The following is a 26,226-nucleotide window of genomic DNA, read 5'->3' as shown; positions in this document are numbered from 1 at the left end:
GTTTGCCTTGTGTCTTTCTGAACCTCTCCTTTTCCTGACCAGAAACCTCTCACCATTCCCTGACACCTGCGGTTCTCAGGCTTCTTCTTGATGCTCTGAACACATCTCTGGTACCTTCCCTGGATTTCTCAATTATTGGCTTTGTCCACAACCTCCTTGCTCATCAAAACTTGCCACATTTCCTTCCTGTCCCCACAGGTCCCAGCTAGGTGATTATCAAGATAGATTTACAAATGAACCAAGCCAATGTTGTCAGATTTTAATGTGTTGCTCCTCCCAGATAAAAGTTAAGCTATAATATAGATCTTTAATGCTTTCTCAATGGAGTGGCTAATGAAGAACCTCAAGCTAATATATGTGGATCCTGAGGTTTCTTAAGGCCCTCAAATTTTTTTCTCAAACTTGTCCAAAGATGGCTCACAGTACATATTAAGAAGGCTATGGAGAATATTGGTGCTATGATTTGAATGTGTTGCCCAAATTTCCTGTGTTAGAAACTTAATCCCCAATGTCACAGTATTAAGAGGTGGGGTCTTTAAGGCATTGGGTTAATTATTATGAGGGTGGGTACAGGGCAAGAGGTCTGCATACCATATGTTTAAATATTTGAAAGTTAAAATAAAGCTAATAACACTCATAAAAAATAATATGCTTTCTCATTTTTCTTCAGCAAATACCTTCATAAAGTCTTGAAAGTCCATGTCAAGTTAGAATGTAACAGAGCAGGTGATATGGGATGAGTTGGCCTCTGGCCTAAACCAAAGTTCATCCCTCATTTTTTTTCTTTCTTGGGTCCATCTGCAGCTTGAAAAGCCTCACACACGCATATGTAAATATGCCAGTAAGTCAAAGTTGTGTCCATAATGCCTGCAAACAGCTAACTCTTGACCATTCCTTGGGCCTAGGAGTGTTTACACCTGTGGTCTTTCCCTGGGAAGATGGACCCAACGACAGGGTCTGTTAGATGCTGCGGGGGATTAAGGATCGTTTTTTTTTTTCAGGGAATTTCAGGATCTTGATTATTCAGAGACTGGTCTAGAAGCTCAGGTTTTAGGTGGGCAGGTCCCCTTAGCTCTGTAAACTCCTAACTCTGAGAGCGGGTGCACATCCAGAGCAAGACTATAGTGGGGTGTTCTAAAATGTAGGGTCCAGAGCAGGCCTAATGTTGGTACTGAAGACAGGTATTATATCCGCATATTACACATAAAAAACACTAACGCTCATAGAATAATCCCAAAGCCTGGGATTCAAGTCCAAGTCTGCCTGACTAAAATGCTTTTACTGCTATATCATAATGTTTACTCTCAGGATGTGGGACAGACATATCACATTCCTACATGCATTCTCTTAAATTTTCAGCTATTTCTATCAAGATTCTGGCCAGACCCCAGAGTTCCCCAGTGCTACAAAGCACCAAAATCACAATGGTGAGTGTGCCCAGCACTGGCAGTCTTGAGTAGACAACATTGATGGAGCCTATAAAGTCTTAAAATCATTCAGACAGCCGTCCCTGTAATATATTTCTTATGGCAACAAAAAGATAATAAGTGGCTGAAGGCCTAGCCCTAACCTTTACCCCATTCCATTATTCTCACCATCATTTGCCATATGGAATAATTTTGGGTACCAGCTGGGTAAGTGAATTTTAAAACGCCATTGTCCCTTCAACTTTCTTAATCTAGCTCTTGAAATCATTAAGGCACCTATCGAAACCAAAGATATTTGAATAAGGATATAGATTTTTTTAAGTTCTTATTAATCTTTATTTGTATATAGAAAACACAAAATGAATAGAGAGGGACATTAAGAAACCTTAATCATTACTCATTACCATTAATCATAGGCATTAAGAAACCTCATCCTATCAATAGATATTCTATTGATATCTATTGATATCCTATTAATACCTGGCCTCTAGATAGCCTATTGATACCTATTGATAGGATGAGGTTCCACTATGTAACAATCACTGGGGATAAATCAGTGAGCCAAATAGGGAAAGTCCATTGTACCACTCTGGTCACAGAGCTCAAAAGTAAACAAACATCATGTTTTCTTTGAGAGACACTAAAGAGTTAAAATGAAAAACAAAAAACAAACAAAAAAACAAACAAAAAACAAAGAATAACATGTACAGCCAGGCATGGTGGCTCACGCCTGTAATCCCAGCACTTTGGGAGGCCAAGGCAGGCAGATTGCCTGATGTCAGGAGTTCGAGACAAGTCTGGCCAACATGGTGAAAACCCGTCTCTACCAAAAATACAAAAATTAGCCAGGTGTGGTGACAGGCACCTGTAGTCCCAGCTACTCAGGAGGCTGAGGCAGGAGAATCACTTGAACCTGGGAGGCGGAGGTTGCAGTGAGCCGAAAGATCACAGCACTGCACTCCAGCCTGGGCGACAGAGCAAGACTCCGTTTCAAAAAAAAAAAAAAAAAAAAAAATGGTGGACTTGCTAAATAAGATGGTCAGGAGCCTCTCAGCACCAGTTTTTGAGTGAGCCAAATCAAATCTGCCTGTGAAACATTAACATTTTTACTGTTAAGCCATCTAACAATTTAAAGTGTTCATTGTACATCTTTGAAACTTGGTGTTAGGTAAAAGGTCAGAGTGTTAAAGCCAACACCAAAATAGAAAATAATATGGAAAGGAACCATGAAAAAAGAGAGAAAGAGGAGGAAATAGAAAGAGAACACTTATTTGCTTTACATACGTTGTTACATTTAATGTACATGGCATCTCAACTCTCAAAAAAGTAGATTTAATTTGTTAAATGACTCAAAGAACTCATGTTTTCAGAGCATTTATTATAAAGGGAAATAATGTGTGACTGTGTAGGTTGATTTTTAAATCAAAACTTCTTGACCACCATCCAGTATGCCTATACATACGTAACTCCACCAGGAAAATCTGGTCATACTGTTATGAAGTGACACATTGTGTAAATAAGCAAAAACAACAGGTGTTACACATCTGTTCTTTCACCAATCTTTAGAATCTGTCTTTAGTGAAGCTATAGTAGAGTCTGTAAACTATTAGAGAAAACCAGCTGAAGAGCCAAGCCTATAGAGTAAAAAATTCAAGCCAATAATCAGGCAAAATATCCCTAAGAGTTTACGACTAGGTCTAGCATTATTCCTTAGTTTTATCAGTGGCTGGAGTAATTAAATTGAAGTAAGTTTGCAGATGTCTTTTGCAATTTAGGCAAAGTTTCTGCCCTCATTATATTCTACAGAAACCTCATGACCTACACATTTTAATTACAGGCATCATCATTAATTTAGGAACTCAAGTTAAAAATTTCAAAATCATCTTCAATTTATTCACCCTCACCCCATATCAAATCTCTGTCAAAGTCTATCAAATCTATTTGTAAACGTCTTTTGAATCCATACCAACTTTCTCATCCTCGCTGAAACTGCCTTAGTTCACGTTTTTACCATTCCTAATCTGGAAAATTGCAATAGACTCCTAACTGGATTCCTTTTCTCCATCTTGTTCCCTTTATTTCCACCTCCCTACTTCTCAAGAATTCTATTTCTAAAACAAAGACCTAGTCACTTAACTGCCCTGCTCAAAGTTTTCTGGTGGCTCTTCATTGCCCACTCCAAAGTGAGGCACTCAAGGCTCTTTTACAGTGGGGCCTCAACTCATCTGTCCAACCACCTGTCCTGCTACCTCCTTCCAAACACTCTCCGCCATCAAATTATTAACAATTCACAGGTTTCTGCATGTGCTTTTTTGGCTACTGGAAAGTCCTTCCAATCCTCTCCGATCTGGAAAACACTTAGTCTGCCTTCAACGTGTAGCTCAAATGCCATGTCCTCTGTGAAGTCTGTGAGAATCATACCAGGGAGAGTTCACTACTCACTGTCCTGTGATTCAACAGAGCTCAATACCCACTTATGCTTCTGCACACTTTATACTGCACTGCTATAACTCCTTTGCATTCTTTCTCTTCCCTATATTGAACATCTTGGAGAAAACAGATTGTATTTTATTTATCTGTGTCTTCTTTAAACTTGACATTTAGTAGGTATTCATGGGATCAATCTGTAGAATGATACAGTCTAAGGCAATACACTTGGACTAAAAATAAACAAATCAAAGGTTGGGAACCATTAAGTAATATAGACAGGTATGGGCTTAACATCTGTAGAATGATGGGCATAAAGAAAAGAATGATGGAGAAATAGAGTAAAAATTACTAAAAGAAAGCTCAGTGAACATAATTTCAGTTACTTAGTGGGACAAAAAAATAGTACTATTGAAGTTGCTCTCTGCCTCCACAGAAAGCATACTCCCTAGTTCCTAATGTTTGTACTACTTTGAAATATGTCCAACTCTATTACATTTCCTCAGTTTTGTTATTACTTCTGTTACTTCCAAACTAGTGTCTACATTCCAGAGGGTCTCAAACCTGGGATTCCCTTTGAGCACACTTAACCTATTCTCTCCATTCTCATCAACTTGTCTGTTTTACCGACTCACTTCTCTGAACTATGATTTGTTTCCATCAACTTTTCCGGTACCATTCTCAATTTCAACCATCACAACTGACCTACATTTTTTTCTGATTACAATTCTCTTGCTCTGTTGTGTTCCACAGATATATCTATATCAATGATCCAATATCATCTTAAATTAATATATAATATATGGCCGTATTTTCAAATTCATCCTTTTTCCCATTTTTTTTCAATTTGAAGGGCTCTACTGGTTTTCTGATCTAATAATCTTAAAATTTCACAATTACTTTTGATTTCTCTTAAAAAGAGGAGGTCAGAAATCCTTTGTGCTTCATAACGTATGCATAGATAAGAGAGGCCTAATAGTCCACTCTGCATACATCATATTTCTATCGAATTTAATATGCAACTTGCTCACCTGATTATTTTATTATTGGCTTACAAAATAACACCCTAAAAAGCCTATTGCTTCTTAGCCAGTCCTTTCCAATCTCTCCTTGGCAGGTGCTATCTGCTCTACTCATCTCAGATTTCACCCCGCTTGGATTTTCTGTCTTACCAGGCACATGACTGTTTGCTCCTACCTCTAAGCCTTCACACATGCAATTTCTTCTGGCTGGAATGCCCTCCCTGCTGGATCTCTTCTGCTAAGCTAGTTATTCTCTGCCTGTTTAAGATGTACATCCTCAATGTGGCCTGCCTCAGATGACTCAATTCTGGTCCTATTCATTCTGGGTTTTTTTTTTTTCCAGCATCTTTTCAGGGTTATATATTAGCATATCTATAGCCCTACTTCCTTGCATTTCAGTTTATTTTTCATACTTCAATTGAATTTTCATTTGTGATGCCTCTTAGTCACACTACCATGGTTTCTAACTTCATATCTTCTTCCGCCTCTAGAACCATTGACTCTGTGTACCCACATTGGCATTTCTGCCTGCTGGAGAAAATAAACTAAAATTGCAGCAGGAGAGATTAAACTGGAGGACCAGAAAGTAGATGGAAATTTTCCATTTTTGGAAAATACCAACAGTTCCCATCTGTTTTGGATGGTTTTCTAGGATGAGAATGATTCAGATATAGAGATGATGTCCCAATTGTGGTAATAATCACATTTGGGTTTCTTTCACCTTTTTGCTCTTTCTTAGTCCTGTCCATTTCAGTTTCAGGTTCACTTTCCTGCTCTTTTGCCATACTGTCTCCCTCCTTTCCCAGGAAACCCCATTTAGGTCCCTTAGCACTTAGAGAGCTCAGGTAGGACAAAACCTAACGGAAGCACCTGACAGTTACTTTCTCCACTTTCTATCCCCTAGAGAGAGCATAAATTTTCTGCCTCTGGGGGTCACCCTCCTCTTTTTCATCCTGAAGAGATATTCCTACACAAAAACCCTGTCAGCCCTCCTCAGGAAGGGGCATTTATGCATGTTTTTCACCACTGGAATACCTAAATATCTCAGCTTTGCAGGCCCATATCAAAGATCTCTCTACTTAGAGAGGGTCCTGCAAGTTTCCCACCACTCAAAAACAAGGAGATGCCAAGACCCCACATACGAGCAGGGGCTCTTTTCTTTCTTTTTTTTTTTTCCCTTTAGTCTCCTAAAGAATTATAGCAGTGTTTGATTCGGGCAGAGGGGGAGGCATTGGTGTTCTCTCCTTTTTGGGGAGGGGTGGTGGTTGAAAATAGATACTGGTGTGCGTTTGTTTCATCTCCTCCATTAACAGGCAGATGTAAATTCCCCTACAGCAGAGTGATTATCCTCACATCTTAATCCTCCTCAGACTTATCCAAGCAGAAGATGGGACTGAGTCGTCTTGGAATTGGGGATTGAGGGAGGTGGCGCAATTTATTTCCCTTACTCTTCCATCTCCCAATCTCAAGCTGTGGCCGATGATCACTCTCTTGCCTCTATTCACGGATTGTTCTATTAAAACTACTTATTATCAGCATTCTGGGCCCTCCTCTTTTTGCTCTCCAGCCCACTGTCCCCTGAGGCTGACAAGGCACGCTGGTCCCCTCTGCCTCTTCACCTTCTCATCAAATGAAGCTCCTCGGGGGCTCCTGTGGCACCCGCCTGTCCCCCAGCTCCTCTGCCCACCCTCTTGCCGGCTTCCCGCTCCCTCCGTAACCTCTAAGGGGGTTCGCTTACGCGCCCGCCTGCTCTCGGGGAGCTAGCGTGCCCGACGGCGTGCTTGGTTCCGGGCCAACAAACTTCCTCGCGACCCTGCAGCGCCCTAGCTGGGCCGCCCGGCGCCGCCTCCTGGTTCTCGGCCGCTGTGGCTGCGGCGCCGGCGCGCTCTCGGCGGTGGCCTCGGGACTCTGACAGCGGAGGCGGCAGAGGCTGGGGCCGCGTCTTCCTCGCGCCGCGACTGGGACGTTCCGGCGGCGGCGGCGGTGGCTGCAGGGAGGACTGCGGGGACGGCGGCGGCGCTGTGGCCGACCGCGCTGCGCATGCTGCAGGGTAATTAAGGAACAGGGCCGGACGCTCCGGAACGTGGTGGGGCTGGAGTCCGGGAATCCCCGCCCGCGCCCGCGCCGCCCCCCAGAAGCCGCACTTGGGAAAAACACCCACATGTGGAGTAGGTAACCCCGGGCCGGAGGGCACCGCACCGGAACCCCGCGTCTCTTAGCTTACGCCGCTTAACTGGCTGCCTCGCTTCCAGGGCTAACACCGTCAAAAAAAAAAAAAAAAAGCGCTCTAACGGCATGAATTGATAGTGAGTTTGTTTTACTCCTTTAACCCCCCATTTTTTTTGTAATGTATTTGATGTCTGTCCCTACCCGCATCAGCAGTGCTCCATAGTTCCGCTTCACAGACACACATAGCCAGAAAAACCACCTAGAACTTAGGTGTAACGCATGAAGCCTGCATCATGTGAACATAGGAACACGAACTACATGGTATGTACCACATGAGAGTGGCCGTCTCCTGCCAAACGTTTTTGGTCCCATCCTTAAGGCCCCTATGGAAACGTATGCAGGTGTGCATTATTTATCCACCTAAACATATTTCCATGTGTAGCACAGTTTTTACATTTTCTTGAAAAGCAGATGCACACAGATAACTAGGAACACGAGCAGATGACATAGCCCGGGCATGTGTGAGAGGGCAAGTGCAGAGCCGGTCGCAAAGCCGCGCAGCTTACCTTGAATTCGTATTTGAGCCCCTCAGAGGCGCAGTGGAGTCCGGACAGGGCTGCGGCACCGCCGAGGAGTGAGCTCCCTGCGAGTGGGGAAGGGGGACGCATCTCTGCCCTTATTAGTCTCTCCCAGTGTGACCCTCCCACTCCGCGAGGACAGAGGACTCTGCAAGAAGGTACTCAGCCAACTCAGGCACAGGTTTTCTTTAATGACAGCGATGTCGCCTTAGAGCTGGGAGTAATGCCTTTCAGGTTTATGTTTTACTAGCAGTTTCACAGATAAAATGACGGTTGGATGCAAATGCCTAGAGTTTCTCACTTCTGATCATGAAGTGTCTTCAAAGTATTATTGTATGTGGCAAACGTTCACGAGTAGGTAATTGGCTTTTTAACGGTTGAGCTAAGAAAATATATCATTTATGTTTCATTTTTTCACTTTTATGTCAAGAGTTTATATAAAGTTGATTAAGGCAGTCTGCCCACCTTCTAATCACGCTCATATGTAAACGTTTGTGTGGCTTGGTTTTTCTCAGTGTCCACAGAAGTATTTTGTGATTTTAAATACATCTTTCCATGGGTTGGTGCTTCCAATCTTGGCTTTTGAACTCTTTTGGGATCCCTTTGAATATGTGAAAGTGTCATTTTCCTGCAGATTTCTGTGTAGGTGCATGTATGTGTGTGTAGAGAGAGTATATATATATTTGTAGGCATATATAGTAGGTTTATATACATATATAGGAGGTATATATGGATACTTGTAGGCATATATATTTGTAGGTATATATACATATATAGTAAATTTATATGTATACATATAGTGTATGCATATGTATGTGTATATATGAAAAACAGAATGATTTATAGAATTCAGAAGAGTAAACCAGGCATTAGAAAACAGATAAACTGGTTTTACATTTTTATTTCAGTATTGCCACAGTGGGAGAAATAGGATAAATTATATTATTGATCCACAATGGTGAAAATCATCAAGCTTAAAAGTTACCTTAGAACCATAGAAATACACTTCACATATCAGAGCTCACAGATCAAGGAATAAATAAAATCAGGCAGGCAAAAAATAAAGATGTTAAGAAAAATGTTAAAAGATAGCTCCTTTCCACTTCATTGGAGTGAAACCATTAAAGTATCACTTGTGATTTTTAAACTTCTCTCTCAACCTAATCAAGATACCTGCAGTTTTAGAGTTCGGCATTCATGGTGATGCAAACCATGTTTCTATGTCAGGATTTAAAACCACTTGATACATTTCCTTCTCATATGATTTTCATCACTAATTTTTGGCTGACTGTGGAAAGAGGCCAAGGAGGGAGGATATTGCATGAGTCACGCTACTCAAATGGCCATTTGAAAAACATGATTCACAAACCTTCATTAGACTTTTGGTGATCAGTCTCTATTTTTTTGAAGTATTATCCCATTTGATTTTTTTCTTTCTCTAAGCAATTTTACTTTATATACCTTGCCATCACTAATGAATTGAACTAAGAGCATCCAGGCTTTATTTCTTTGTCAGACTATTAAATTCACCTTATTTACACTTAATTGAAACTATTTAAAGTAATGCTTTAAAACTACCTAAAAGGAAGTCCACAATTTTGTCTCTAATTTTTGTTTTAATACAAGTAAATCAAGTTTATCTTAGAATTATTTTCTTAAACATTTTAATAATTTCATAATTGTTAAGATATTTGAGAGAGCTAAACACTTATATTTTTGTTTATATTTCAAAATGGCCCTTTTCTTATTTCTAATATTGACCCAAGCAAGATTTTGGAAGAAAGTGAAAAATGAATAAATAAAACTTCAAATTATTATTATCTGTTGCTTATTCTGTTTCTAGATACACCAACATCCCCAGGGCAACAAATATTTCTCTATTTTTCTTTCAGGAAAGGGTTTGAATCTAGGCTGGTTTCATGATTACAAACTATTGTATACCTAGGGTTTGCTTCTTTAGCCAGTTCTTTTTATTGAATTTTAAAGTGACTTCAATTAGGAAGAACCTTTAGCCAAACACCTTTTATTTATCTAAGCCAAATACAATTATAAATGATCCGGTTTTCTTCTTGCTTCTGAAGCTACTGCTGGTAAACAAACATCTGAAAATATCAGGGGAATCTGACAGCACTCTAAGTTTTAATAAACAGCTTGCAGCACTTCTAACACCAAGTTCATCTGTGTGCACGTATGTACTTAAAAAATTTAACAGATTTAAAAAACGAACTTCTTTCAACATTTATGCCTAAAGGAAGATACAATTAAATGTTTTTATGTCATGTGAGGGATAAATTCCATTGAAAACATTTTAAAAAACTGTTCCATATTTGTAATGCCCCACTGATATAAATTTAACAATTTACAATGATCATTGTACCATTTTTTATAATTTGGATTTAATACATTTTTAAAATGTGTTTCTCCTAACCCTTAGTTGTCCATCTCGTCTACTTTATGTCTATTTCTTTTTTCCTTTTTTCTATACTTCTGTACTCCCAGTCATGTTGCTCTTGTTCCCTTTTGTAATGTCTTTCACTTTTCTCCCCTTTCATAGTTTCCATTTTTCAGGAAGAAAGAATTTCACCATTGCCCCCAGCTAACTTCTCAGTTACCAAACCATAAGAGTGTTCATTCTTTATTGAATTTATGGGGCACAGCTATACATGACTCCCTTACATATCCCATGGAAATACTTCAATGCGTCAATAGTGGATGAACAGACGTTACTGTTAACTGTAATTACCAAATCTGACTTGTCATCCCTAGCATGCACTTCCCATTATATTCCTTTTTAGGCCAGCACTATGTATGATATTCTTAAGGGTAAAAAGAAAGTAGTTATATCAATTCTAAATTCTGAGTAATTGCCAAAAGTAAATTAGGACATCTTTTTATTTTAAATGCTGTGTTTACCGTTGCTTCTGAAAATAATTCTCTTCATAGAGAAAATAATATTCCACTGGTTGTTTTTAGGTTTGCTTCCCTTCCTAGAAGACATTCTAGCTCATGACATTTACTCAGTTTAGAAATGAAAGGAAGAGGCGATCATAATGTGACTTTCACTTAGTTTATTAGACTCTTCCTAGGGATCAGTGACTCTGAAAGGAAATATGGTAAAAGACAAATGACTGGGGAAAATGTTGGTTAATATACATCCAGTTCTGAAAAATCATTTGAGAGACAGAGTGAAAGAGAGAGAAAGAAATACCCCAATAGAAAAATAGGCCAAAAAGCAAAGAGGCAGTTTACAAAGGAAATAGAAAAGGTCAATACATTTATGAAAAATATTCAATTTAATTAGTATTCAAAGAAATGCACATTTATAAAGGAACTATTTTCCCCTACCCATTCTGCCAAGATTAATATTGCTGATTAGACGTGGTGTTACTATAAGCGAAGAGCATTCTCAACAATTCCAGGAACATATAATAGTTCAGTGTTTCTAAAGGGCAAATTAGCCATGTTTATTAAAAGCGTTAAAAAAAATGCACATAGACTGCATCATAAACTACCCTAAAACAGTGACTGTGGTTACTTATAGTTTGAGATTTTGAGAATTATGATTTTTTCTTTTTGCTTATATGTAATGTGTAAAGTTTCTGCAGTGAACATGTGTTACTGTTGTAATAAAAATATAACAAACTTGAAAAAATGCGATGTTTTATCTCCAACAAATTAGTAAAGCAGTGGTATTAAGAGAGCCGAGAAATTGGCCTTTTAAATAAGATTTTCAATCATTTTCAACAAGAATCTTCCAGGTAAAAATTAGTATGTAATTTAAGCCATTTAAACTGAGTCTAGTGATTTCACTAGGAAGCAGATGTTAATTAAATTGTTTATTCATTCAACATATATTTTTGAATGCTTCTTAAACCGACCACTGCACAGTATACAAAGATACATTGAACGTGGGCCCCACTGTCTGGAGTTTAACATTCAGAAAAAAAAGGAAGAAGAAGACATGTATAAATACGTAATAATAATAGGATATGAACATGCAAAATGCAATAAACAAAGTAGTTATAAAGCTCTAACTGAGTTCTAAGGTGGAGGGACTATGTTCAAACGTGGAAGCATTGGAATCAAAAAATTTCAGTGGACAAAATCTATCCATTTGTTGTTAGTCTAAATAAATATACTTACAAATAATTATAGAATCATAGTACAGAGAAGGGCATTGTAACTAAATAATTATGAAATTATGGGTTTACTGTTTCTTTAATAAATGTTTGTTGAAAGAATCCACAGAGAACAAGGCTACTTCTTATTCAGATGAAGAACATGAGATTTCTTATTTCCTGCTGAATTAAAACCTTTTGCCAAATTCAGAGTCCTAAACAGTGTCACCCAATCTACTCTTATCAGTTCCCTTAAATGTACATTTTGCCACAACCAGATTTAGTGACTTGTAACCGCAGAATGAGCATGTCTCAGCGTATTCATGTTGCTGCCTCCCACTGAAATGCAAAGTGGCTTTGGGAATTCTGCCAGTCATTCAAGGCTTACTTCAGGTGTTAGCTATAAGATGATTCCTTTCCTGCCCTCCTCCCATCAGACAAACCCTCCTCTGCCTCTGAACAGCACAGAGCACAATTTGTGCCTCTTTAATGATGATCTACATTCCCCGGCCTTGTTTCAGAAATATTTTTGTACTGCATCCTCTGACTTAATTGTAAGCTCCTTGAGGACTGGAATTGGGTCCTCTCATTTTTAATAATACCCGGAGCATCAAGTATGATGAATTAATTCTGCTTAATATAGTCTTCAAATATTTGTTGAAATGAAACCTGTAGAGGTTAAATAATCAAGGACATAAAATTTTCTAATGACGAAGTATGGACTGAGTCTTACAGTTTGTCTGGAAAAAATGATGGGTTCCTTGTTGTGTTATATCTAAGGGAATTATTCTACTGATAAAAGAATCACAGGAAAAAATGTTCTCACCTATAAAAGACTCCCAGAGCAGGAACTCTGAGGACAGCAACACAGGAAGACAAGACTCTCATCAATTGAAAACATCCTCATCATATATTCTCTTCATTCCTTTACCAAACTTAAGGTAAATTTACACTATCAGTAATAGAGCACAACCCTGTTTAATCTCTTATTATTATTAGACCATGAAAAATGATCTAACTCCTAAATGTTTTTAAACAACCAATTCTATCTACAACATTTTTAAAAAGAATAATGCAACATTGGCGTATCATAAATGATCACTTGGCTCATATGTTATGTAAAGTTTATGTCTATAAAATTGAGCTTCTCTTTGTTGTAACTTTTTACTGGAACATTTATTTTCAATTTAGAACCGATTTAGCTTATTCCATGATTCTCATAGAATCATTTTGTAAAAATCCCCTTGTGCTAGCCTGGGCACAGTGCTAACTTCTTTACATAGTTCATCTTTTTTAACTCCTTCAGTAATTTTGTTGTCCTATTTTTACAGTACAATAAGGCTATGAACAAATCTCTGATGTAGCCAGGATTTGCACCCAGATCTGTCTCATTCCAAAGTTCAGAGTCACATTCACTATGCTCTAGTACCTAGTCTTCAATCACTTCTTTAACAAATGTTCTGCAAGCACCTATTTGCAATCCAGAGCTACAACACCCAAAAGAACAGCTCAGTGGGTGCTCAAGCAGAGCAGAGGCCTCAAAGTTACCTGGCAAAGTTACATCATTCCTCTTATAAGATATTACAAAAAAGAAAAATACGTATACAACAAGAACCAATTTTAATGAAAAGAAAACCATAAATGAATTAATTGGATCTAGAATTTCTTTATTCATATGCTGCAACATGCTTTAGTCTTTGTTGGCTTAAAAGAGAAAAAATGACAACATAGCAGACTAGGCAAAGAGCTTTTCGTAGTTGACTATTCAACTAAGGCAAAATAAGATAAATTGGACTTGACTCTGTTCTTTATCAAAGGTGACAGATTTACCTGTGTTTTTGATATTTGAGGACATTCTTGCTGTCAAATTATTTTACCAGAAACCCATTTTTACCCATTTGAAATGTAAACTTCTATGTTTATAAAACCCCTTTTAAAGTAATTACGAGAAGTCATAAAACATAGCTAGTAAAGGAAATAATAATAGTTCATAAATCTATACTTCTTTTAAATCACTTCAGATGTTAACCAAAAAGTACAGAATTGTTTTCCACACAGAGCTGTTTTATTTTTAATAAAAACCTCATAATAACTTCTAGTGCTTCAGATAGCAACATTAAAATCTCTTAAGTCCACTATCTTTTATCCAAAGATTTGCTTGCATTGGCTGCCAGACAATGGCTCTCATCCTAATCCTATCCCTAATCGTGGTTACTGCTCAGCTGGTTCTGCTGCGGTGCCATCACTCAGTTTTGGCCCCAGCCCTTGGGATGCTAGCTGCATCCGGAGCCAGCTGCCATCTGAGGCAGAACACTATGATATGAGTGCTTTTTGTCCTTCAAAATTTGTATGTTCAAATCCTAACCCTCAAGGTGATAGTATTAGGAGGTGAGGCTTTTGGGAAGTAATCAGGTCATGAGGGCAGAGACCTCACAAATAGGATTAGTGCCCTTATAAAAAAGGACCTGGAGAGGCCCTCTCCCTTTCCACTAAGTGAGGACATAGCAAGGAGATAGACATCTATGGGGAAGTAGACTCTCACCAGACACTGAATCTGCTTTGATCTTGGACTTCCCAGCCCCTAGAACTATGAGCATTAAGTTTCTGTTGTTTACCCAGTTTATGGTTTTATGTTATAGCTGCTCAAATGGACTAAGATACAAAGGAAAGACCTGTTTTCTCCATCAATGTCAGTCTGATGGTGGTTTCTTTTAGAATGACAGTTGCATAGAAGGTAACAAATGGTATTCTCAGACAGTATTCAGCTTTTTTCACCCACATATCATTAGCTACTGCAGCATAATAACCTATTCCAAAACTCAGTAGCTGAAAATAATAACCATTTGTTATTGCTCACAAGTCTGCTGGTTGAAATTCATCTGGTCTAGGCTGGGCTTGGCTGATCTCAGCTAGGTTCTCTCATGTGTCTGCCACCAGCTGGCAGGGCATAAGAGTATTGGCTGGTAGGAAGGTGGATTACTTGGAAAAGCCATCTCTCCTCCATATGATCTCTCATCCTCTAACAGACTAGCCTGGTCCAAGAGATCCCAGGGGTTTAAGACAGAATGAAAGCTCATAAGGCCTTTTGAGCTTGGGCTCAGAACTGACACACAATCACTTCTACCAAATTTTATTGGCTGAAGCAAGTCACAGGCCAGGTAAGAGTCAAAACTCCATCCCTTGATGGGACAAGCTTCGAAGTTACATTGCATAGAGCACAGATATAAGAGGGTGATGAATTGGGGGCATTGTAATTTTCTGTGGTTAGGAAGATGCACAAAGGGCATCTTCATTCAGCTCCCACCAGTGGTATGTCCTATATCCTCTACTTAATGTCTCTTGCCTCCAGAAATCCCACTAAGCAACTACCAGTTCAGCTCTACAAGTCCTATCCCTTAGCTAATGCCAGTCACTTTCACATGAGATCATGGAAACTGAAGAGATCCTCTACTTCATCCTTTCCCAGAAATGTGGAGAACTGGGATGTGGACATCCCTAACCTTTCCTTCTTAGAAAACCTAAACTGTAGTTTCCACTTGCCCTGCAGGCATCCCTCCTTCAGAAATTTCAAGGGAAGAAGTGAGTCCTATCATTAGGTTTCAGAAACACAAGCCCCAGGGGAGAGAGATCCGATACCCCAAATGTGGTGAGAAGGACTCTTTGGCTTATCTTCAATCCTTTCTCTCCTAGAAGAACTCCTTTTCTTTTGCAGTTTCCACTGATTTGCTGGTGACAATGACTATTAAGCCAGTTTAGTCTTCTTTAGACCTTGAGGGGCCTGAGAGAGGAAGTTACCAGAACTGTTTGCACCTAGCCATTACAAATTTAGTGTCAAAAACAAAACAAAACAAAACAAAACAAAAACCTGTTAGGTGTCTCTACAATAATGTGGTGTGATTAAAAGTTTCCGGCGGAGGTTGTAAGGGACAACTTTAGATGGAATAGCTGTAGAAGGCCTCTCAAAGTGGTGATATTTCAGCTGAAACCTGAATGCCAGAAAGGAGCCAGCCCTGAAAAGATCAGAGGAAGGTTAAGCAGACCTGGGTCTGTCCAATGACTATAGAAATGGCTTCATGCCTAGAAGCAGGTAAGCAAAAGAGGTCATGGTAAAGATAAAGGATGATATAGTCTGCAGCTGAATCCTGCAGGGCCTTTTAGATTTCAGTGAATTGTGTATTTTGTACACTAACAAGGTAAGAATGTATTGGAGGGTTTGAGCAGGGGAATTATATAAACTGAATTTTGTTTTAAAAAGATCACAGCCTTCTCTATGGAGAATAGGTTGTAGCAAGGCAAGAATACATATAAAGAGACCATTTCTGAAGCTGTTGTACCCAGGCGAGAGATGATGATGGCTACAATGAGGATGATATTTGTAGAAGATAAAAAGTAAACAAATTCAAGACACATTTTAGAGGTAGACTTGAAAAGACTCACTGAAGGGCTGGATGTAAGGGCTGAAGGAAACAGAGGCATAGAACAAACCTATATCTCAAGGATACAATAGACTTTTAAAATGGTTTGAGCCAATCATGTTTTTATGCTCCCTTTAATCAATAAAAATTAAAGTTGCATTGTTTTCAAATGCTCATCCTTTAGAAAAGGGGGAAAAGGAGAGAATATCGTATATAAATGACAGTCAAGGCCATGTGTTACAATTTGCCTTGGGGTGCCAAGCAAGGGCACAAGCCCTTCCAAGTGCTTTCCTATCACATTGTGAGGAGAAAGAGGGGCACGGCATAGAAGCGGCAACCTAGAATTGCACTAGCTTCTCCAAGAGGGAACAGACTGAAGCAGCAAGTTCTACAAGTGAAACCAGATTTTTCCCACAAGTGAAACCAGATTTTTCCCACAGAAGGTAGGGTATTAACAGCTTTCCTTGGTCCCTCAACCTGAACTGGAGTTGCTATAGCCCTGGATGACTCCTGTCCAATCACCTTAGATAAACTGAGGAAAGGAAAAAAGGAGACAGTAGGGGAAAAGTAAGGGATTCCAGAGAAAGAACTTTTCTTTTCATGAATCATAATTATAATTATGAGCACAGAGACTCTTACAGATGTATAGACAGGGTAGGGACAATTAAACACTACATTTTAGAGTTGTTTTATGGGCTTGAAGAAATAAACTAAAAATGTCTGTGTGGATCCAGTGTTTAAGTTTCTTTTAGACTAAAGTCACTTGTGTAAGACTTGGCAAAATATTATTTTAATAATCCAGTGATTTGAATATCAAATAAGTTAAGTAAATGACCATATTTACTCACATAATTTCCTGATACAGCAGGTAAGTTAATTAGTGAGTGGCTGAGGTCTGAGCCATTACTCAACCACCTTCAGTCGTCTTGGAGATTTCCCACTCTGTGTAAAGGACCAGATCTCCAATAATGTCGGGTTGCAATCAGTGGAAAAAATAGTCAGACATGATTTCCTAACATTTCTTCCTTTATTTAATAATCTCTCATTGTTTGTGAGGCTGTCGGTTTATTTTGGGAAAAGAGAACATAATAATAACCCAGTTACTAAAAAATACTGGTATTTGGTATAATATATTTTTTAAATATTGAAGTCCCAGTAGTGTTCATATGACCAAGGCTAAATTTAAAGTTAAAATTGTCCATATTTTAAAATCACGTATATACACACATGAAAACATAATTTTAAAATTATTTTCAAACATCAAGATGTATTCTTTAAGTGATCAAAGTAAATCAATTCTTAGGCCTTTTTGTGTCTTTCATCTTAATGAGTCTCTCCAAGGGTGTAGTCTGCAAAGAGAAGATCTTGGATGACTCCTGCCTCTTAGATAAAGAAGCTTTTCACTTGATATATGCAGAAGGGTTTATATTGGGCGGCCAGACAGATTATTCCAAAACAGGAATATTTTCAAGAATGAAAGGAGGCTTTATGAATATTATAACAGGAATATAGGCATTAATGCCTGTATGGTGACCCAAGATTCAAAGCATATAACACACCAACAAAACGTCAAAAGATAGAAGGGCCTAGTGTACTCACCTTTTTACTTAGGATTCACTTTCAAAAATCTGATTTGGGACCTAAGTGACTGTGGATCAGTAAAAGCCCCTGAAAGCTGTTCTAGTATTGTAAGCTTTTGTGCAAGTGTTGTTAATTGGTCATCTTATCCCTAGGGCCTAACACTGCCTCAGTGCCTATATTACTACACTGTGTATCTTACAGTTCTAAAATAACTTCCTGGATGCTTGCAAGAGTTAAGTGCTTCTCTAAGCGCTTTCTATCAGAGCATGACTTGTGTTCTAAGCAAAACTGAGTCTCCTGTTCTAACATCTCTTCGTTGTGAATTTAAGGTAATGTTACAGTTTTAAATACTGTTGACCAATTTCTTCATGGTTTTACACTGGCACCCATATAAATGTCTTAATTAGTATCTCAGGTACTTTGTTATAGAGAAAGTTAAAACCTCAGTCCTTTATTATGTTACCACATGCTGTATACAAATAATGGGCTTTTAAAATGAATGCATTTGTGTATGTGTTTCTTCAGAGTATGTTGAATACATTACTGGGCTTAAGGAAACCTCATAAAGAAGATAATGTGCTATTAAAAAATTGGAAGGCATGAACAAGAGATATCAAATGCTATATAATACCAAGAAGAACACATGCCCAAGTTGACTTCTTATAAAAAGGGGGGCATTTATAAGTTGCAGCTGGCTTTGGTTAATACTTCGGTAATTTACAACGTTGGAGCATTTGGCCTTCTGTTTTAATTAGAGGCACAAGAGAAAATAGAATATTTCTTCATCGAATAAACAAGAGGTTCTAATGTCACAGAACTTTGTCTGTAATAGGATATATACATTATATGTGTATATAAACATATATATGTTCTAATTCAACAAATATTTATTAAGGTCCCTGTGCTGTTTTTACTTCTTTGCAAACAACCATCAAAATAGGACAGGATTCCATGTTCTTTACATGAATTGTGATAGAAAAGTTAATTGAGATCGGGACAGTTCCCAATCTTTCCATCAATACTTTTGGTTTAACTATTTACAGATATGCATAACAATTCTTCTAGAACAAAATGAATGCATGGTGGTTTTTTCCTTTTGCCAATGCTATGTTTTAATTGGAAGAGTTAGCTTAATTTCCGTGAATAATAATCTGTTGGCTTGGAAGAGTTGAAAACCTTCTGAAAATGCTTTCTTATGCATTTAGCACTCAATTGTTCAATAAATATCTATTGAAGACTACCATGCACCAGGTACTGTGGTAGTCATTGAGATACCAAAGTGAACAAAATAAATTTTCTTTCTTCATAGACCTTATTTCCTAAGGAAAGAGATGGATATTAATTGCAGAAATAAGCAAATAATATAGAGTATATCCAATGATAACACAAGTGTTAAAGGAAAATAAAGGAAGGCAAGAGATAGTGCCAGGATTGCTGTTGAGAGTAAGGCAGGGCATGGGTTACTCTTTTGTAAAGGGTGGTCAAGAAAGCTTCACTAGAAAGGTAACATTTGAACAGAAACCTGAAAGAAATAAAAAGGTAATCTTTTTATTCTTGGGGGCAAGAATATAACAAGCAGAAGAAAAAGCTAGTATGAAAGTCCTGAGTTTGAAATGCTCTTGCTGTATACAAGGAGCGCCACAAATGCCAGTGATGCTAAAATGGAGCAAACAAAGAGGAGAACAGTAAGAGATGAGGTCTGAGACTGTGTTGCCTCCAATTGCTACACAGTGATCTATTGTAGAAGATAAGCTGGCAATAGAAAGAAGTATTCATTTTGGTCTATTTATCACATTAAATTCTTTCTAGGCTTTTTTATTTTGAATCCTTATGCTAAAACTGTGTTATCTTCATATTGTATATATATAAAATAAGATTTCTTAACTGCTTTCTTGAGATTTTTTTTAATTTACTTTTTGCAATAGGATACAATAACCACTCACCAAAGTGTCATTTGAAAGAGAAACAAGAATATTTATTCTAATTAATTCTGGAAATTATAATATGTTTGATTACTGGACTGGTGAAATATTTTCTTACTGATCTGCTATGCCAAGGAAAACATATTCTTTCTCTCCTGTATATGTGTGTAATTATGTGTATGTAATACGTATGTTTGCATTTAAAAATCTATTTCTGCAATATTAAGAATTGAACCTTGTCTTATATTACGTAAAATTTTTAAAGATTCTGTACTCATTGGCAGTTGAGTTATGGATTATGAAGAAGACATAATGTATTTTTCTTCAGGGTGGGAAAAAACACCAAAGAAGAGGAAAAGAAAACCTCCAAAGGCAAAGAATATTTTTCTTTTGTTTTTAATATATGACAATCTGTATCTATCTATCTTCATATGTCTAGGTTTACAGATTTTTAATTGTGCATGAAAAGATACTTTTTTCTGTCTTTCTGCCTAAAACTTTAGGCATCATTAAGTATGACTATAAGCTTTAGTGTCAGACCAAGCTGAGTTTGAGTCTCACCTTTGCCACTTTCAGGTAACTTAGCCTTGCTCTAAATGTTTACCTCAAAGAGAAACTATAGGGATTTTCTGGTGTAATGTATATGGCACATTCAGAACAGAATCTGATACATAGCAAATGCTCAATAGAGTATAGTAATTATCATCTCCTTACCTCTTCCCTATTCTTTCAATTCCTATGTTCAGCCAATCACTATTTTCTATTAGTCCTTCACCAAAAGAGTATAAGCTCTGTCCCTTTATCTATATTTCTAATACAATTAACCAAATTACTCATTTATTCATTCAATCAGTACTTAATGAGCACCTGCCGTGTGCCACCAACTGTACTAGGAGACAAGGAGATCAGCAAAAAAGATGGAGAGGTGCCATGAGGCTTTCAGTCTAAATCATATTCTCTTGAATACTAAATTTGGATAAATGTCCCCACAGTACCTAGCATAGTACCAAATATGGAAGATATTTCAAAATAGCCATAGACTTAGTCTTGTAGAATTAGAAAAGAATCTAGAGATAATCTTATGTAAACCCCTTACTTTTAATTAAAATTTATGGCTAAGTGCAGCTCAATATTGTAAGGTGATGCTTCAAGTACTAAGAGCAAAGTAGTTTTGTTTATCACAATAATAGACCTCTTTATTTGGTAGATGAGAAACAGTGACATAAGAAGTTTATATTTTCTGATGCTAGAAAGGTAGTTAGATTCAGAGATGGAATTGGAATACACTGGAGTTTACAGACATGAATTTTAAAATAACTATGAATAGTATGTTCAAGAAATTAGATGAAAAGGTGAAGAGTTTTTTTAGCAAAAAAGAAATTGACGAATAATCAAGTGAAAATTCTAGAAGTAAAAAATAGAAAACCACATGCATGATAATTGAAGGTAACTCAATAAATGAGTTTAACAGTAAATTAGACAAAGTAGGAGAGAAGATTGGTGAAACTGGAAAAAAAGTCAGTAGAAATAACTGAACAAATGTATGAAGACCAATAAATAGAAGACAGCCAGAGTCATCTGAGACAAAATGCAAGGTCTAACTTATGTGTAATTAGAGTCCACCATGGAGAGGATATAGAGAATAGATCAATAGTGTATTTGAAGAGAAAATGGCCAATTTTTTTCAAGACAGATGAAAGATATAAAGCTACAGATTCAAGAAATAGTATAAAATCAAAGAGAGATAAACCAAATATATGCATATCATAGTAAAACTTCAGAAAATTATAAGCATGTGGAGGGAGATAGACAGCATAATTTCAAATGAGCAACATAAAACTGATGGCTCACTTCTCTGAAAAAATAATACGAGCCAGAAGGCAATGGTATGAGGTCTTTGAAGTGTTGAAAAGAAATAACAGCCAATCTAGAATTCCAGACCCATTTATTATCCTTTAAATGAAAGAGAAAATAAAAGCACCTCCAAACAAACCAAAGTAAGTATTTAACTATGAACACATCTTAACTGAAAACGCTAAAGGAAGTTTTTTGGACAGAAGGAAAATAATCCTAGAAGGCAGCACAAAAATTCAAGAAAGAAGGAAGATCCATAGAAAAGGTATATAAGTGAGTAAAGTAAAATCAATTTTGACTGGCAAAACCAAAATGTAATAAACTTTTGAGTTTAAAATGTGTAGTATGATTTTAAATATATATATACTACATACACAATAGCACAAAAGAAGATTAAAAATAAAGTGTTCAAAGGTCATTACATTGGTGGTAGTAAAAGGACTGGAGTTTATGGAAACTTTCATACATTTCCATTTTTTATGCTTTAAGATATCCACTTTGAAATAGTAGCAAAAGAATACATAGCTAATGGAATAACAAAGGGGAAAATAATATCTAAAGAAGACAAAAACATAAAATACAGAAAGATTAGAAAGAAAAAAAGAACTCTCAATCACCATAGATAACAATTGAATGGCAGAAAATTTAAAAGAAATTGTAGATATATTACTAGAATTAATACATGAATTCAACAATATTAATCAATATATAAAAATTAATTATATTTCTCCACTGAGAACATATAGATATAAAATGACATTTTCTTTTAAAAATGTACAATAACAATAAAAGCCAAAAATACTAAGGAATAATTTCAATCAGGTTGTGCAAAGCCTCCACACAGAAAAAAATACAATAATAATAGAGATAATTTTAAGTGCCTCCATTTATTTAAATGGAGGTGTATATGCCATATTTATGATTTGACAAACTTAGTATTATAAAGATGTCAATTTTCCACAAATTAGTCTATTTAACTGTTTTCCCAGTCAAAATCTCAGAAGTTATTTTTTAAGTATATGAGCATCAACCAACAACAAGGTTTCAAAATGTATATAAAAATACAAAGAACCAAGCAATCTTAATGATGCTGAAAGCTGGACATCCGCTTCCAAAATTCAAGATTTATTGTAAAACTACAGTAATTCAGACTATGAAGTATTGGTACAAGTATAGACAAATAGACCAAAATTGAAGATTTAGAGACAAACCCATATATACACGATTTATGTGAAATGTGGTGAGCTGGGAAGCAGAGAAAGGAGAGTCTATCATAACAGGTTTTTAATAAATGATGAAAGATGCCTATAGATGTGGGAGGTGACTCCTACGTGTTACCATATTTTTAAAAAATCAATTTCAATTTGATTATACACCTAAATATAAAACATAAAACAAAGCTTTTAAAATACAATATCACAATATATTCTTACTACCTACTGATAAGCAAAGATTTTTAAACAAAATACACAAAAATATACTAATCCAAAAATGAGTGAACTTTGCTTTATATTTAATGTAACTTTTCAATTTAAAATTTTATCTCTCTAATTAGACTTTCTCTAATTTTTACTACTACAATGTTTTGCACAAAGTAGGTATTTTTTTTAATTTTATTATTATTATACTTTAAGTTTTAGGGTACATGTGCACAACGTGCAGGTTTGTTACATATGTATACATGTGCCATGTTAGTGTGCTGCACCCATTAACTCATCATTTAGCATTAGGTATATCTCCCAATGCTATCCCTCCTCCCTCCCCCAACCCCACAACAGTCCCAGGTGTGTGATGTTCCCCTTCCTGTGTCCATGTGTTCTCATTGTTCAATTCCCACCTATAAGTGAGAACATGCGGTGTTTGGTTTTTTGTCTTTGCGATGGTTTGCTGAGAATGAAATCTTGTTGAGTGTTGAGTATCTATTATTTTGCTTTTGCTCAATAATCCTTTCTTTTTTATAACTTTTCTATATTTTTTGAAATATTTATTAATGCAACAAACTTTTAAAATGCATTATTTATGTTCTTATTTATGAGCTATCCCACCAGATGGCAATGCTCTATTTCCATGGAATCTTAGTGACAACGTTTTGAAAGAAGTCTAAAACTAAATCTTTCATATGCTCATTATTTATAGACCATAGATTACAGAGTTTTAGAATCTAGAAAACTTGAATGAGGGATTATATTGGATGGTATCTGTAGAGAAGAAAACTGGGGTTCAGAGATATTCAATTCTGTCCCCATAGCAATTTTCTTTCTTTATGCACTTAGCCATTGAACAGATATTCTGACTACACTGTTAGTATTTGGAAACCAGAAAAATAATACCTGATACTCCTATGATTCTGACATTATCTTGTTTCTTAAAAAATGTATATTTGTCATTAGGTATAAGAGTAACATTTATAAAATATTAGAATGACTTTTTTTCCTTTTTGCTTTGGTCCTAAATGCCTTCATAATATTTAAACAATTAGGTATATTTAATCATTCTCCTACTTTGGAATGCTTAGGTTGTTTTTACTTTCTTACTACTAAAAAACATGATCAACATATTTGTGAACCCAGAGTTTTCTATATTTGAGGTTACTTCTTTAAGTTATACTCCTGAAAACATCTACTGTCTTATGAATACTGCTAAATTACTAAAAAAAAAAAGGTTTACAATTTCACCAGCAATATAAAATATGCTCTTTCAATAGTGAGAAGGGGACTTTTTATATTTATATAAATCATTTGTGTGATTTATGTTTATTAAAACTAAAATGAATATTTTCCAAATTTCTTTTTTCTTCTTTTGTAAATTTTCTATCCATATATGTTTCTACATAAGTACACATTTCAGTGTTTTTGCCCTATTTATGATCCCATTTTCAATCATCTATGTATCTGGTATAAGTAGAATATTCATCCTATACATGCTATATTTATTAAAACCTTTTTTTCTACTTTCTTCTTTATCCTCTGCTACTATTTCCATTACAAGGTGACCTAGTTTTAAAAAAAATTATAATCTTTACTAGGGCTGGGCGTGGTGTCTCACACCTGTAATCCCAGCACTTTGGAAGGCCGAGGCGGGCAGATCATGAGGTCAGGAGATCAAGACCATCCTGGCTAACACGGTGAAACCCCATCTCTACTAAAAATACAAAAAATTAACTGGACGTGGTGGCAGGCACCTGTAGTCCCAGCTACTCGGGAGGCTGAGGCAGGAGAATGGTGTGAACCCGGGAGGTGGAGCTTGCAGTGAGCTGAGATCGGGCCACTGTACTCTAGCCTGGGCGACACAGCAAGATTCCACCTCAAAAACAAAAAAAAAAAATCATAATCTTTGCTAAATCTACCTAGACAAAAATGCAGCCTTATGAGGTTCAAGTTCATCCTTTTATGGCACTAACATCACACACAGAGATCCCAGCTAAATGTCTATGAGTAAATTAAGTGGCCTCTTGCTAGTGGCCAATAGTATAAATTTACATTTAAAGCTAATTCATTGGTTTGTGTATCAGGATTTACACATACCACAACTTGGATGTGCATATCACATGACTTCTTTATTTCTCTATAACTGATCTAATCTTTATGACCCTACCCACCCACACACTAGGAAGTAGGGTTGAAATACTGAATTTGGTTTTCAAATATTAGTACAATCCAGCTATCTGAAGAGATTACATGGGGTAATCCTACAATAATTCTGCAAAAACATTTCATTCTCCTTTCTCTATTTCTCTTTAAGACGGCATCTGAATGTGTGGGAGAGAAGTGTAAATCACTCGATAGCATTGGGGAAGAGGGAGAATGCTGGCCTCATGCTAGTCCTTGGATATGCGCTGAATGTCATTTAATTGATACTGAAAGTAAAAACACAGAAATCAGTACAACGCAAGTACCTAAGAATACAGGCACAACTATAAACTACCAGTAAAAACTACCAGTACAATCATACTCTGCATGCTGGCTGACTCACAGCTCTGCACCTGCTGTTAGTGTCTGATGTTAATAAACCCCTTGTCTATCCCCTCTCAGCTTAGTAAGGATCCAATGGCTTCTTTCAGCTGACTAGGTCTCCGCAGTCTGGTGCTACAGCTCCCTCTCTTACCTTTGCTTCCCCAGTTCTCTGCACAAACCCCTTGACAATGGAGGCAGGCTTCCCACTACATTATAACCCTCTTCTTCCCGAGAAGACATCTGCTATCTCCTGTTTATTTGCCTGGAACTGTAATGGTGACCTTCATGTTGGAAGAGAAAACCAGCTTATAAATAAGGGGAAAAATCAGGAATTAGTGGTTTTTTAAATATTATATCCAACGATAAAATACAAAAAGTAATGTCATATAAATACTAGAATACTAAGACTTCATGTATGCCTTAAAACAGTGAATTGAACTACTTAAAATCTTTATTTCCTTTATATCAACCTGAGGCTACAGAGACAATTTCTTATAAACTTGTTTCCAGAAACTGTATGTACTGTATGTGCCCTTTATTCTGATACCATAAAAATCAAGATGAACCTACATTCTCTTTTTTTTTTTTTTTTTTTTTTTTTTGAGATGGAGTTTTACTTGTTGCCCAGGCTGGAGTGCAATGGCAAGATCTCAGCTCACTGCAACCTCTGCCTCCTGGGTTCAAGCAATTCTCCTGCCTCAACCTCCCGAGTAGCTGGGATTACAGGCACCTGCCAACACACCCAGCTAATTTTTTGTAT

At 36.9% G+C, this 26,226-nt stretch overlaps 1 protein-coding gene across 8 annotated transcripts in view, besides 3 other annotated features; it reads right to left on the bottom strand.

The window, feature by feature from the left end:
• The window catches only part of COL19A1 (collagen type XIX alpha 1 chain), a 345,913-nt gene extending 338,217 nt beyond the window's left edge, over positions 1-7,696 (bottom strand). For 5 of the 8 annotated variants that reach the window (XM_011535437.3, XM_017010253.2, XM_017010254.2 and 2 more), the window contains exon 1: positions 7,247-7,577. In XM_011535437.3, coding sequence (XP_011533739.1) covers positions 7,247-7,289 — 43 coding nt within the window. In that variant the 5' untranslated portion in view covers positions 7,290-7,577. Of the gene's footprint in view, positions 1-7,246; positions 7,579-7,611 lie in introns of those variants that run through there. The other 3 variants (NM_001858.6, XM_047418188.1, XM_017010259.2) reach the window with 3 other exon arrangements.
• Positions 6,659-6,728: a silencer, noted in NCBI's record as "silent region_17316". NCBI's record gives its function as "represses an Ori minimal core promoter by ATAC-STARR-seq in GM12878 lymphoblastoid cells {active_cell/tissue: GM12878}" and the evidence as "EXISTENCE:reporter gene assay evidence [ECO:0000049][PMID:35858748]".
• Positions 6,739-6,788: a silencer, noted in NCBI's record as "silent region_17315". NCBI's record gives its function as "represses an Ori minimal core promoter by ATAC-STARR-seq in GM12878 lymphoblastoid cells {active_cell/tissue: GM12878}" and the evidence as "EXISTENCE:reporter gene assay evidence [ECO:0000049][PMID:35858748]".
• Positions 7,009-7,058: a silencer, noted in NCBI's record as "silent region_17314". NCBI's record gives its function as "represses an Ori minimal core promoter by ATAC-STARR-seq in GM12878 lymphoblastoid cells {active_cell/tissue: GM12878}" and the evidence as "EXISTENCE:reporter gene assay evidence [ECO:0000049][PMID:35858748]".

Source organism: Homo sapiens, chromosome 6 (genome assembly GCF_000001405.40).
Source record: "Homo sapiens chromosome 6, GRCh38.p14 Primary Assembly".
Lineage (NCBI taxonomy): Eukaryota > Metazoa > Chordata > Mammalia > Primates > Hominidae > Homo > Homo sapiens.
Note: the sequence above shows the minus strand (reverse complement) of the source record. Positions and strands in the feature narration are given on the sequence as shown.